Raw genomic sequence first — 15400 nt, 5'->3', positions numbered from 1 at the left:
TTCTCCTCTATCACCCCCATCTACTCCTCCTCTGTAAGCCTGCTCTACCAGTCTTTTCCAACCCAGGGCAAGTGGTTCTTAGATCATGGAAAATTCATTCTTCCTCACCTTAATCCAGGAGACAAAGATTCTTTTACTTATTATCTCTCCTGAATAGGATCTGCAGTCAGAACTATTGAGCTTTTCCAATCAGACCACCACTCACACCTATGGGAAAAGGGTAATATAATAGATCATTGACTTAACAACAGGGAATCCTATTCATATGTTGGAAAATGGGGATGAAAGCCTTTGGTACGTAAAACATTATTCCTTCCTTGGCCTAAAAACTCATCTCCGCCTACATTAAAAGCTAATATGCCTGATTACTGTTTTTAGAGAACTTATTTTATTAGGGCAGTTCCAAGCTCAAAAATATGCCAACTGGCACCTTGTTAGCTACATAAAAATGCACCCTAGACCCGAAACTTACTGGACTAACTCATTATAAAATTTTCTTTAAGATGTCCACACAGTCCCTGGTCACGCTTGAAGCAGTCCTGAGAAACATCGCCTCTACCCCAATAATCCCCAGAAGAAACTTATATTTTCTTTATCTTTTCTTATAACCTTATATTTTATAAATAAAAAGACAGGAATGTCAGGCCTCTTAGCCAAAGCTCAGCCATTGTAACCCCTGTGGCCTGCACATATATGTCCACATGGCCTACAGGAGCCAAGAAGTCTGGAGCAGCTGAAAAACCACAGAAGAAGTGAAACAGCCATCTCCTGCCTTAACTGATTGACCAACCTTATGACATTCCACCATTATGACTTGTTCCTGCCCTGCCCCAACTGATCAACTGACCTTGTGACATTCTTCTTCTGGACAATGAGTCTTATGATCTCCCCACCATGCACTTTGTGACCTTCTCTGCTAACAATAGATAACCACCTCAGTCTGTAACTTTCCACTGCCTACCCCAGTCCTATAAAGCTGCCCCTTTCCTGTCTCCCCTCGCTGACTTCTTTTTGGACTCAGCCCACATGCACCCAAGTGAATCAACAGCCTTGTTGCTCACACAAAGCCTGTTTAGGTGGTCTTCTATACGGACACGCGTGACACTTACATGAGCTAATCTCATCAAATTCTCAGTGATAGGATAGGTACTATTATTATCATCAATGAACAGGTGAAAATACAGAGGCACAGAGAGGTTTAGTAAATTATCCAGGGTTAACCAGCTAGTAAGTGGTAGAACCGGGGCACAAATGCAGTCCGATTCCAGAGCCTGGGTCCCTAACCATTAAGGATTTGCTGAGATTATGCCTTACTGTGACTGTGTCAAATGTATTTTTGTAAATCCTGTAGCACCTATTCCTGTGTCATATCTTATCAATATAAGCAGATAAAGTAAAAATCCTTTACCAAAATAAAGAAGAAATACATATATGCTGCTTTTCTCTTTTTTCCTAATTGACTGCTTAATGAAACCATGGAGCTGAATATCAGCGGATCAAGACCAACATTATCAGACAAAAGTCCAATAATATGCACTTAGCTAAATTTGCATATTATTAGAATCTGGTCATGAGTAGTTATGCTATGGGGACACCATATGATCTATGGTATATTAAAATCTGTTATGATGAAATCTGATTATATGCCATATTGTGTCCTGTTGATGAGAAAAAGGAATTAGCTACTAAAAAAAGCGAAGGTTCTTCATAAGATATTCTTACTCATAAAGAGGACCCCTGATTCCCCACAAATTTGCAGAACTTAGCTAAAGAAGTAATAATCTTCTACCAGTTTTCAGAGCTCCCCCGTTAAGTGCTTCTCATAATATTATTCCAGTTTTTGATCTTTTTCACTGTTACTAAAATGAAGCCAAATAGAAAGTGTTTTCCAGAGCACAAACCAAAGCCGCACTCAATTCTGGAGGTAAGTATGCAACATCTTGATTCCGTATTTCACAGACCACTCTCATTCAGTTTATGCACCATGGCAAATAGTATTGAATCTATTGGAAAACACCTGGGAAGCAAACATTTTGCAAGTACTGTTTTGATGATTTTGAGAGAATGTGAAAGCCAAATTATGGTACCTGTTAAAGTAATTGTGTCTAGCTTAAGTTAAAAAGAAATCCACACTTGAAATCACAATAACCTTTTAAAATGTGTTGGAAATATGGGAGAGTTCAATCATACATGAGGGGAGATGAGTTTTAATTTTTTTTTTTGTAATAAGAAAACCAGCAAGAGTCAAAGTAAACTTTAATAAACCTTTCAAGTCTCCTGGAGTGAGTGGTGCCCTTGCTTTTGTGCATGCATAAAGGTGTTGGTTTGTATTTAGGACCGTGTTGTACAAAAATACATATCTTTGAACACTGGAATTGCTTCAGTTCAGAAAGAGCTCTCACTGTGGGGATCATGAGGGAGCTGAGATGGACGCATACTCGTGCTTATGCTTTTTGATGAGATGGCAGGTTGCCTGTAGGTTGGAAATGCTTCATTTTCTTTCTCAGCATCTTTCTTATGTGTGCGTGTGTTTGTTTGTTTGCTTTACGTTTTGATAAATGCATGTTTTTGAATGATTGTATGACTGATGACTATACAATGCAATCTACTATGTTACTGTTACTGATTTGGAATGAGCAGGAACTTTCTTTTGTTTGGTGTTGCTTTAGTGCTACAACCACCTACCCCTGTCCCCAACATACAACCTCCCTCCTCCACCAACCTTCCCGAAGGGTTTCAAGGTAATGGTTCTCAACGCAGTGCTCCCTTGATGCAGTTTATGAAGTATCGCTTTGGAACAGAGACTGGTTGAGTTTGTTTTTCTGATTTAGTATGGAGCTTTTCTGATTGTGTTCAGGACAGTGGTGGAAAACACCCCTGAGGGATCCTTTCTTTACCATTTCTCTGTCTCTTCACTTTTCATTCTTTACAAAGGCAGTAGAGTGTAGAGTACAGGGGTTAATTGTTACAGTTCTGAAGTCAGTTCTGGATTCATCTTCACTGACTCATTGTATGGCTTTAGCCAAGATCCCTATACCGCCTATGCTTTATTTTCCAAATCTGTGAAATGGGCAATACTACCTACCTCACAAAACTGTTGTGAAGATTAAATGACATGTAACATATGAAACATTCATTATATGCCTGACATATGGTAAATACACAATATATGTAAACCGTTAACGTTATTTCCAGATGTAGTTACCACAGGCCAGAACTGTATAATGAGACTAATTTGCCAGAACTGTATAAGGAGACTAACTTGTCAAGGATGAATTCCCAAAGCAGATCACGAGTGACAGAAGTGAAGCCTTTCTGGAAATGAGACCATGCATGCTGAATGCCAACCCATTTGACCACAATTGGAAAAATACACTAGGTTTCATAACCAGAGACTCACTAACTGGGAACTGTATCTGTATCTGACTAGCTTGGCACTGTGTTAAAAAAGGCTGATGTTCATATTAGGTTAATGCTTCCACGTCCTGGAGACTACACAATAGCTACCCAGCTGAATGTCTCCCTTGAGACACTTGTACTGCATCATGGGTCTGGCTTTTGTTGGTATTATCTCTACCTTATTCTGAAGTCTACATTGCCATTTAACTCCCCACAGGTCATGCCTGACTTTGGATTTGTATTGCTATGAGGAAAGAATAGTTTTTAAAGTATTTTTCTGAGTCACATTTTTATTTGCCCCAGGGCACTTAATTCTGTGCATTTTGGCAAAGGAACGCAATCATTCCCACAGATACTGTTGTGTTTGCTAAATCACCTGAGTATTATCAATAAACATACATTTTCTGCAAGACTAACAGGACTTTCTCAAAACTCTGAGTTCTATTCTACAGTGGTTTTGATGAACTTTGCTCATAAAAAAGTGATGAATACAGGGATTTCTTTTTTCTAATATTCACCAACTTCTTTGGTTCTCAATATGAAATGGCTGCGAGGATGAATTTCTCCTTAGCTATTAGAGACCTCCTAGCTCAATTGGGTCATATAATGGCTATTTATAAGCATGAATGAGAAAATCTTTCAAATGAAAATTCATAATTCATTTTTAATATTTTTAAAATGAACAGTCCTCCCCCCATTTTGCCCCCTAATACTTGGCATTCAAGACTAAGGAGAAACACTAGAGTGTTCTTTCTTAAAATGACAGATAACAGCATATTTGTGTGTGTGTGCGTGTGTGTGTGTGTGTGTGTGTGTGTGTGTGTGTGTTTTAGTTAAATATGAGGAACCAACCTCAGAAACCATTTGAAATTACTTATTCACTTTAAATGAGAACTGGGAAAATTAGCCAGATAATCCAGGACCATATAAAAACACCAACAGAAACAACAAAAAGTCAATAAACATCATTGATCATTCACTTTGCACCTCATGTTGAGCATCTTTCTAAACACTGGAAATATAGTCTTGGACAAAAGCAGACACAAACCCCTGCCCTTGCCAAATATATGTTCTTGTGTAGGGGACAGACAATGAACAAGGTAAATTAGTGAAGTATGTGGTAGTTTGGATAGTGGTAAATATTTTGGAGAAACGATAATTCAGGAAAGAAAGATAAAAGTGAAGTATGTTGGGGAAATGGGTGCTGAAGTTCTAGATGAGGTGGCCAGGGAAACTTTATTGAGAAGGTGGGTTTTGCATAAACACTTGAAGAAAATATGGGAGCCAGCCATGTGAATATCTGGGGAAGAGCCTTCCAGGCAGAAGGAAGGGGAGGCAGGGAGCCCCTGAGATGGGAGCAAGCCTGGTAAGTTTATCAACCTAGGAAATGAAGACCTTAATTTATTTGCCTAAAATGGGTTTGAACAGCGGTTCTTCACCTTTAAGAGATCCTTAAAGGATGTGATAACAAATATACATATATTGCCCCATGGAAATTGGATTTGAGGGAAGGAGAAAACCAGTAGGAAATTGCAGTTGAACTTTAAACGAGAGGTGACAACAGTCTGGATTAGGGAAGTGGCAGCTGGACTCAAGGAAGAGATAAGAAGATGGATTTAATGGAGTTTAGTGGGGGATTTGATTTAAGGGTGTAGAGGAAGTGTCATAGGAAACACCCAGGTTTCTGGCTGGGAAGATGGTAGTTGGGGGCCCAACTCTGAGAATGTGTGATTCCAGGATTCCTAGCAAAGCAAACTCTACCAGTTGAGCATATTGGCTGGGTGTATCTGCCTTGCTGAACTCTACAAGTTCTGCCATGCAGGCAAGTCAGGCTCTTGGATGGCTATTTCATTGAGATACAGGTTCTGGGCTCTATTTACCTTGTTAAAATTATACAGAAGAAAAAACTACCACTGTCTTTCTCTTTGGTTAGGGATGGTTAAGGAAAACCTCCATTTACTCATTTCAAAATCTTTTAGATGGGAGATCTGATGGTCAGTATTGCCAGCTATTAAGTTCATGAAAGTTGTCTTTGAGAGCCCTTTTTCTATTTATCCGTAAAATATGAGTCTTGAAGTCATAGCTTCCACTCTCACACCTCCTCTCTCTTCCTGTTCTTATCCCTCACGAGAATTTCAGATCCACCCCTCAACTCTTTGCTACTATCCACACATGGAAGACCTATGCTCCTTTGATTTGACTTGTCTAAACCTAACTCACTCTCTCCTTACACCTACTTCTTCACCTGCATGTATCAGCTTGGCTGATGACAAAATCTCATGCCACATGCTGAATTGCCAACAGCCTTCTTTAGCACCTCCTCCCTACCTATTTCAAGTGAGGCCCAAGGTAAGTAACATGGCTTGTAAATGGTTGAGCCAGAAGTGAAGTGAGAACTGTGAGGTCCAGGACCTACGCTGGTAATCACCACCTTACACTATCCCAAGGGAAGACAGGAGGTGGTGATTCCCAGCTTGAGCCTTGGATTGCACACATCTTGGGCCTTACTTGCAATGGGAATAAAAACACTTCGCTTCTAGGAGTTCTGTGACTTTTAAATGACATAGTGCATGTGAAGCACTTAGTTTGTGTCTGTCATGTAGTAAGCCTTCAAGAAAGAGTTCACATTGTGATTAGACTCTATTGCTCTCTCTAATCTGTTGCCATTACCTCGTAATAAACATCCCCCTCCTTGCCTCTATTACCAGCAGATTATTTAATTGTTAACAAAAGCTTTTAAAAACGCAGGCTTGCTAATACCCGTCTCCTACGTAACCCTTCCAGTTGTATACATAAGTGACTTAGAATTCATCATGCCTTGGAAACACGTACTTTTTTGAGGAGGGGTGAGAAATCCTTTACAGAATGTATCCATGCACTACAATTAGGCCCATCCTACTTTTAATAGCTTTATTTCTTACTAAGTCCTCCAACTTTAAATAATTTACTCAGCTTCACAAGCATTCACATACCCCCACTCACACATACCTACATTCATACACCTACACACGACCTCTTCCCTCTCCTGTTTCTGATCCATTACTCTAGTTCTCTTCTCACAGAAAAAGCTCCCCACTGTATTTGCCCCTAGAAGCCCACATTTTTTTCTCACATTTGACCTTCTCCTGTCCCTCCCTTCCAAAAAAACAGTTCCCAAGTTGCTCTGGTTGGAATCAATTCAATTCCTTGTCCTTTCTTCATATATAGCTATTGGCTTTCCTCTCCATGTGGGTCTTGGTGAACCAAATATCCCTAAATTCAGGGTACTCTATAATTCAACTTTCTCTGGGCCTCAGGGCCTAGCGCAGTATTTTGCACATAAATCATTTCTCAATTCAATTGTTTGTTGAATTCAATTAGGAAGATTTCAGTTTCTAAGATCTGAATGTAAACATGCAGACAGCATTTAAGCATTGCGTTTACCCAGCCACATGCTGCTCCCTGGTTCACAGTTTACCTTACAACTGAGTCTGAGAATTGTATTTGCATAGCCATCTGTTTTTCAGATTGCCAACAGGCCCAGATCTGCCCAGTCCTTTCATCGCTACACCTTACATTTAGCTGTCACTAATGAATCTTTTCAGTGAGATTTGCCCCCTCACAGTATAGACCAGAGATTAAAAACTGGTTCAGCCAGTTTGACTAGGTTAAAAAAAAATGTATCCTGTAGGGGTAGAGTGAATGTGCAAATGGCTCTTCAAGGATCACAGGTTTCTGAGGTCCACCTTTGTCCTGGTCAACATGTTTACTAATGATTGGGAAGAAGGCTTAGATAACATGTTTTCTTTTTTCTTTTTCTTTTTCTTTCTTTCTTTTTTTTTTTTTTGAGACGTATTCTTGCTCTGTTGCCCAGGCTGGAGTGTAGTTGTGCAATCTCAGCTCACTGCAACCTCCAGCTCCTGGGTTCAAGTGATTCTCCTGCCTCAACTTCCCGAGTAGCTGGGACTACAGGCACGTGCTACCATGCCCAGCTAATTTTTTGTATTTTTAGTAGAGACGGGGTTTCACCATATTAGCCAGGATGTTCTCGATCTCCTGACCTCGTGATCCGCCTGCCTCAGCCTCCCAAAGTGTTGGGATTACAGGTGTGAGTCACCGCGCCCAGCCCCAGATAACGTGTTTTCTATGCATGGAAAACTGTGGACTGGCTTGACATACTGTTAAGAACAATGATGATACAGTTTTAAGAAAAACTTGGAAAGTCATTCCAACTGGGAATTCCTTTGCTAACTTTGGGTGAGGGAAATGGCTAGGAACTTTCTAAAATTAGCAACAATTCTCTTGTGCTCATATAAATTATCATTTGGTATTTGTTTCACGTACTCAGAGGAAGCCAATTGGAATAGAATATGTTAAATACCAAGTAACATTTTATTCTGACAGGTTAACTTGATATCAACCTCACATACAAAGTTGTGAAATCTCAAAGGCTATACAGGGATGATGGACGCTGCTGATCTTGTGTCAAGGAGGGTCTTTTTAAAATCTAGTAAAAGAAAGCACAGTATATTACAGTGTCATTTGGGGATTTCTTTGTAGCTGTAGTGTCAGAAGGGACTACAAAATGAAGGAAGTTATTCTACCTAAAGTTAAAGATAGTAACTTTATTGTCTCTAGTATTTGCTCATAATAAAAAAATGACACTTGGATCATGAAGAAATGTTTATTTGCACAATAACTGCATTAAAGATTATAAACAGTTGGTTTAGTTTTTACTGAAATAGAGTTTAGCATAAAAGGAAAAAGTTAATGTGAAGCCTCAGTATCTTTCTTCCAAAGTGTGTAGGCTTGGAAAAGCCATAAACCACACTCTTCTTATTCACTTCACCCTTTCGCAAGTTTCCACTTGAGATCTTTGTTTCCGACCCCTAACAAAGTATGCTCCTGGTGAAGGCAACTCTTTCTATCCACTGAGAAAACATGAGGTCCAGACCTTTTGTGATTTTCCATGTTTTTTTGATTAAATTTCCTTTGAGTAAACTGACATTTTCTCTGAGTAAGCAGAGTCTGTTGGAATATTATTTTCTCTATAAAGCTTTTCCCCACAATCCCAGCCACTGCATTGAAGAAACCTTCACTACAGCTTGGAGCCATGAGAAGCGTATCTGGGAAAAGTTATTTTTATTTACAATCTCTAATTGGTTCCTAAGCAGGGAGACCCCTTGGTGACTGAGGGGGGCTAATGGATGTGGGAATAGGAGCTGAGAGTGTGCCACATCTTTATGATGAGAAAGAGGAACAGGGGATCATGGAAGAAGAAAAATCTGGAAGGCCAGAGAGGCTGGTAGGAAGAGGTTCAAGAAGCAGAGGAGAAAATTGCTGTTGGCAGAGGGTGGGTATGAAACGAGGGCCTGGAATAAAGAACAAGTCATTTAATAAGCTTCTATTTATTTCTTTTCATTAACTTTTTGCTGTGTAACACGCAATGTCAACTTTTCTGGGTCCTGTTAACTCTGCTATACATCTAATACTCAGCTCATGCTTGTGGGGGTGGATTCTGTGAAGTGCTTGCACCTGCTTCAATGCGGGTGCTTAGGAACATGTGGGCTATATAGGTAGGTTTGACTGTGTGTGTGCCCTTATGTGGCACATACACAGTCATGTGTATGTGGGAGAGGCCTGTTACAGGGATTCACTCATGGCCCTGACTTAATTATTTGAAAGTGCTCGCCCACACTTTCAAAAATTTATCTACTTGGATGATAAATTATAAAGTCACAGAAAAATAGCTTTTATCTGACTGTACTTTGAAGACTGAACACATTTTATCCTTAAATTGCCTGCTTATCTATCTATCTCTACCCCTGAGATTGTGGGTTCCCTGAGGGATAGGACACCACCTTCATTAATTCATTCAACACTATGTATTGAGTTCTGTATATGTGTTGTGTGCTGGGATACAGTGAAGAATAAGATAAGATCTCTGCACTCAAAGATCTTATGATATGGTGGTAGAGGCTGATATGTAACCAACAAGTATAAACCAGAAAGATGGGCTTACAGTATGGTTTTCCCACCTCGGCACTATTGACATTTTGGACCAGATAATTCATTGTTGTTTTAGAGTATCCTTTGCCTCATGGGATGTTTAGCAGTATCCCATTGCCAGATTCCACTTCTCCTCACTTTGCCCCCACTTCACCACTGAGAATTACTCATTCTCTTATGGCTAGACACAAGGCATCATGGGAAGAGCACTTAACCCATACTTGGGTGGAGTTTTATTAATCCTTCATCCTCAACATCTAGTTGATGCTTACTAAATGCTTGATGAATAAATGCAACACATAGTAATCACGCTACCTGTCAGGATTTTTGGAATGAAGTTTAGTAAACTATGGGAAAGTTTAAATGTGAGGCCACAGGCAAAATGTGGGAAATAAATTTCACTCTGTATCATTGGCCTGAATATTGTTCCCCAAAACACTCTCTCTAGCTTCAAAGGGACTTGCTCCCCAAATATTACAGGGCAGATTTTCTAGTAGTTACTTTCCTGTTAGTAAACACTGACTGTCAAGCATTTTGGCAAATACCAGGTGCCTGTAAATGTTAAATAGTCATTATAAAGCCACATAAATATTTTAGATTCCATCATCCACAGCAGGGAAAGAAAAGAGTCCAGATTCTAAGGGTGGAAAAGAAGCCCTGACATTCAGCTAATGGCTTTTACCCACCAGTGGGCCCACCTGGTAGCTTGAAATTTAGAATGTCTTAGAAATAAATATTCTTTGCAAAAGCTCATTAAATCTGACTCAATTTGGCGGCGGCATCCTGTCCCCAAGTTGGCTTTTGTATTTATGTAAATGATGACAAGAAAATTCACAACACAACCCACACATTCCTTTCACACATCCTCTGTCCTGAACCAGGTTGACATAGAACAATGAGATGGCAGAACTAACTGGCAAGATGGACCTGAACTACATGATGGTGTTTCTTGGACATCCTGAGAAATAATGAAGGGTTCAGTGAACCAACTGTGTGACTTTGGCAATTGATAACTTCTCTAGGCTTCCACTGATAAAACAGAGGGAGGACGTAGAAAGTGATGATGACTTCAAAGCTGCTCCCAGCATTCATTCTGATCCCTTTCACTCTAGTATTATATCCTTAAAGCTTCAAGAAATTGAGGGGCCGCAGCATTAATATTTATTTTGGAGATGGGAGAAAATGGAGTACAAAAATCAGCCTCTTAACGGTCTTGACATCTTTCCTTAATAGACTTCTTATCTTGAGTGTGATGAAACCTCACAATGTTCTGAGGTTGGCTCCCATGTAGAATGGACAGGTGCAAGTTAGCTGCTCAGTTTGAGCTAATTCTCAATTGTCCCTTCACCTGCGTTGTCCACTATGATGTTCTGTTGATGGAAACATGACCCAACTGATAGCCCTGGGTTTTAGATTACTAAATCTTCTGGTAATTCTCTGAAATTCTCTCCTTTTACAAAGATAAATATTCTCAGTGACTTCAGAGAGACTCATTCATGTTCTTTAGAAGCTGCAATTAATAAGATATTTTCCCTGATGGATCCGTTGTCCCCCTAATTGGAAAACTATAATTTCTTTGCTGACTCCCTGAGGTTCATTTTATTTGCAACACTCTTAAAACACACACAAAACCCAGCAGAATAGCTACATTTTTGTCTTAATATTACTGCTAAACTAAGGGAGGAAAAAAATCACACACACACACACAAACCTCCTCCCTCCTTTAATCCCATCAGGGCATGCCTTATTCTAATACTTATTAAAAATGAGAAAGCAGTCTAGGAGGCTTCTGGAGGTCTAAGTTCATAAAGTGAATATGCATAAAGTAGCAGAATATCAAGTTTTCATAATTACACCTTTTTATGCATACAGTTCCTGGAGTGAAATCGGCTTTGACTTCGGTTGATTTAATAGAACCTTTCTAATTTAAATCTATCCTGTCACTTCTACTTAGCTGTTGTTCAATTTTAAATGGCAAAAAGAGTTATTATTTTCCACTTTCACAAACCAATAAAGATTCTATACTTCTAAACAAGAGTGATGAGACAGCATTTAATTTCTGACCTCTTTCCCTAATTCAAGAGCTTTGGGAAGGGAAAGTATTTCTGTTTTGGAGAGATAAACTTTAAAATGAGAGGGCAAGCGAGGATAGAGAGACTCAGGCTTAGGCGACTATACCTAGCATAATGCCTTACTCAGAGTCAGCAGGTGTTGGATCCTTGTTGCAAGAACAATGCTTTAGACAGGACAGAAGACTTTGAATAATCTCATAGCAAAAGAGATAGTTCAGAGAGCATACAAAAAGAAGAAGAATAAGAATAAGAAGAGGAAGGAGGAGGAGGAGGAGGAGAAGGAGAAGAAAGCACAGTTAAAGGTGGAATTTTGGTGAAAATGGAGGCCTTTGGAACAATTTGATTTAGTAGGTAGCAAGACTCAATTAGAAAGATTTCGAGTTAAATCACAACTGAAAGTGCCACTTGTTTTGCTGTCCCAGGACACCCAAGAAGAACACTCACACAGATGTATGGTTGCTTTGGACTGAAAGTCAAGTGGATGTGAGGGTTTGAATTTTAGTTAAAGAGCCATGTACACACACATTGGAGCTTGGAGTTCATTCCTTTGATAAGCACTTACTGAATGTCTGCTCTGTGTTGGGCTCTGTCCTGCTTAGAGCTGGTTCTTCAGGGATAGCAAAACCAGTCCTACCTTCAACGAGCTCATTTTGCTGGACAGGAAACTGATGTCTAAGCAGGAAACTGAAAGGGTGGCATTGTCCTAGGATCATAGATCTAGGCGGGGTCACCTTTGTCCAGCCAGACAATTTTTTTCTTCTGGAAAAATTTCATTAGTTTTACTTAACACTAAGCACCTTAGGAATACGTTCATGTATCATCAAATTATTATATATCAATCAAATTACTTTATATAAGCAAGAGTATAAAGTCTGGGTGAATTAGCTTTCTTTTATTCCACGTGGTAGAAAAGAAATACTGTCTTTTTATGAGCATTTAGAAATTTTCTGAATTTTGAATACAGAATATTACTAATTCCTTCCTTCTCTTTGAGGGTAATTCATAACTGAGTCTTTAAAAGGTTGGCTGTTATTCAAGAGTAAATCTCTAGTTTTCGGATTACCTATTTATCAAGTAACCTCCCTCAACCAGAAAACAGATAAGCGTTAGTAACCAGTGACTGAAAGGATGTTTTGGAAGTTTATAAATTTGAATTTGCCTTGAAAAAACACAATGATTAATACCTATTTTAAAGAGAAAGGCAAAAGTAAGGCCAAATTCCACCTTTTCAGAGAGGAACAAAGACTGCAGGGACAGCAGGTATACTATTTTTAATTTCATTTTCCTCTTACAAAATGATTAATGAGAACAAAGTGCACAACAGTAAAACTTTAAGATCCCATGGTTAGGTAGATTTCCCATACATTTTAGTACGCATGTGGAAGGGAGTATTTGAGAAGAATTAGACTCCACCATTTTAAAATAGCAAGCTGAGTCTCTTCTGAGATGAGGCGTGGTCTTGATAACATTGATGCTTATTGTGATTTTCAAAACCCTGATGTTAAACTGTAACAGTCATGATGGGTACCTCCAATATTATAGACCCAGATGTTGGAGAGTGCGTAGTCTATATTTTGGGGGGTTCTTTTATATGTTTCTATGTTTCCCTTAGAATATATATTTTCAGGAACCCAACAAATGTGTGTTGAGTAGATGAGCAAACTCAGACCCTATCCTTGATGAAGATCATTAATTTCATTTTAAATACTGCCTTTAGGGGACAATAGCTGTGTTGGAAATAATCCTTGTCCTTCAGATATTTGATATCTAGCAGGGGGGATCAGACAAAACCACATCCAATGAAAGTGCAAGGTAATAATGGATTTGCACAAAGAATGATTTTTACACAGAGCTGGGAGGTTTAGAAGAGGGAGAAATCACATATCTTTGGGGATAAGGACATGGGTAGTGAAGAAATACTTCGTGGAACAGATAGCCTGTGAGATGGGTCTTTGAAGATGAGTTGAATTTTGATAGGCTGGGAGGGAGAAGGGAGGAGGACCTTCCAGGTGGCAGGTAGCAGCTCAGTAGCTATGCAGAATAGGAATTTTTACAGTGTGATTAGGGAATGGCAAATTGTACAGTTTGACTAAAACATGGAATACCGGGGATGACGGGAGATAGCTCTGAAGAGCATGTGAACGCTTAGGAGGGCCTTGAATGCTGATGTGAGGAGAGACGTTTTATTTCTATAAGCCAGAGATACAATGGTGTAAACACAGCTCTATTTGAAATAACAGATTGGAAGAATGGAAGACTGGAGGTCGGAGACCATTCCACAGGGAGTGTCCATGAATATGCCCTAATGTCATCAATTCTTTCCTTTCCCTGGCCCCCTCACCCGCCCTGTTCCCCTAAGTGTGCCAACTCTTAATGCATGAGGGTTTCATAAAGCCCAGAATCAGCCTTCTACCAGCTATATCTTCTAATCAGGAACACAAATCCCATGTAGTTTGGTCTTAGTTTTTTCAATCTTGAATCAACTATTTACAGAATGAGTGAAACAAACAAACAAACAAACAAAGCCAATGAAAGCTGCGGAAGATGGCTTAACTTTGGGTTTGAAAGGAGCCACCAGATTTATTTAGAAGCTCCCCAAGGCCGACTGCAGCAGGCAGAGTTGGATAGACTATTACCACTTTTGCTGCTCCCTGACCATCTGCTGGGTTGCCACATACAGAACTGCGGGCATTGCAGATACCCCAGGATGCAACTTATAAAGAATTCCATTATGCTAAAAAAAAATCACATGGGATTTCTGTATGTTTGTTTTTTCTTCCATTTTTGGCCAGAGGAGCTGTTAATGGTTTTGAACTTCACTTTTTGAGTCTCAATGAGAAAGGATACTGCCAAAGCTGAGGGCATGCAGAGCCCAGCACTGGGCCTACGCTTGCGTGGCTATGCAAATTCATGCCTGTCTTGGGGATTTCTCCCTGATAATTAAAGCCTGACTTCTGCGTACTTAAACACAGCTTGAATTTAATTTGTGATGTTTCCTTAGTATCTCAAGTTTCAAAGCAAATGTTTTAATGTCAGGCTCCTTAGAACAAGTTATTTTTATTTTAGTTTTTTTATTCTCTGGGAAGAAAATTATCTTTGTAGGTCTTTTTTGGGAGATCTCTTCTACAACAGCATAAGATTTCAGGGCCTGGGGTGTAGTCAAAAGTTGGAATTCAAAATTTTCACTCAGATAAGAGGTCACAGGTTAGGGATGTATTTAATGTGGAAAAAATTAGAAACTTCTGCCTTCAAAATCAGGAAGATAATCAACTTCTGGGTTTTTATCTTAAGGAAATAATTTAAAATATGTGTAAAGTGCAAGGCTAATTGCTTATGAGAGAGAAAAATTCAAAGCCATGTAAAATTCGAAGTCCAACAATAAGAGATTGGTGAAATAATTCATTTTATCTCAATATAATGGAATATTATGCAGTCATTACAAAGGGAAACAGAGTTAAATAATACTGAATATAAAAATACTAGTAGAGTTACTTCGTCTTACTCTTTCTTGGTCCTATGAATAGATAAATAAACTGTTACTAAGCATCTACCATCTGCTTAACACCTAACCATTACACTAGACATTTGTTATTTAATCTCCATTAATACTATTTTGATGCATAGGTGCTTATAACATTTTACAGAAGAGATAGAAATTATTTAGGTCAGGATTATTTGGCGAGTATCAGAAACCTAAATCAAACCAGCAATCACATGAGGAAATTCAGCCACTGACAACCGGAAAGTCTAGAATGTGCTGGCTTCAGCTGTGGCTGAATTCAGGGCCTCAATTTCTTCTTGGTAAGCCTTTCTCTCTCCCTCTATCTTTTTCTCTCCCCTTGAGGATCTGCTTGTCTCTGCCCAGCTTTATTCTTTAAATAGACTCCTTCTACATCATGGGCAATGTGGTCACTATCAACTAGGCCCACATATACCTAGCT

At 39.3% G+C, this 15400-nt stretch overlaps 1 protein-coding gene across 4 annotated transcripts in view, besides 1 other annotated feature; it reads right to left on the bottom strand.

Annotated features, from left to right (window-relative positions):
- The window catches only part of SYNPR (synaptoporin), a 416321-nt gene that overhangs the window by 32909 nt on the left and 368012 nt on the right, over positions 1 to 15400 (bottom strand). The gene's annotated exons all lie outside the window — the stretch shown is intronic.
- Positions 6702 to 7229: an enhancer, noted in NCBI's record as "OCT4-NANOG hESC enhancer chr3:63562463-63562990 (GRCh37/hg19 assembly coordinates)". NCBI's record gives its function as "activates a minimal SCP1, AML or CMV promoter by ChIP-STARR-seq in primed H9 embryonic stem cells {active_cell/tissue: H9 hESC(primed)}" and the evidence as "EXISTENCE:reporter gene assay evidence [ECO:0000049][PMID:30033119]".

The sequence above is a fragment of the Homo sapiens genome, chromosome 3 (genome assembly GCF_000001405.40).
Source record: "Homo sapiens chromosome 3, GRCh38.p14 Primary Assembly".
Taxonomy (NCBI): domain Eukaryota; kingdom Metazoa; phylum Chordata; class Mammalia; order Primates; family Hominidae; genus Homo; species Homo sapiens.
Note: the sequence above shows the minus strand (reverse complement) of the source record. Positions and strands in the feature narration are given on the sequence as shown.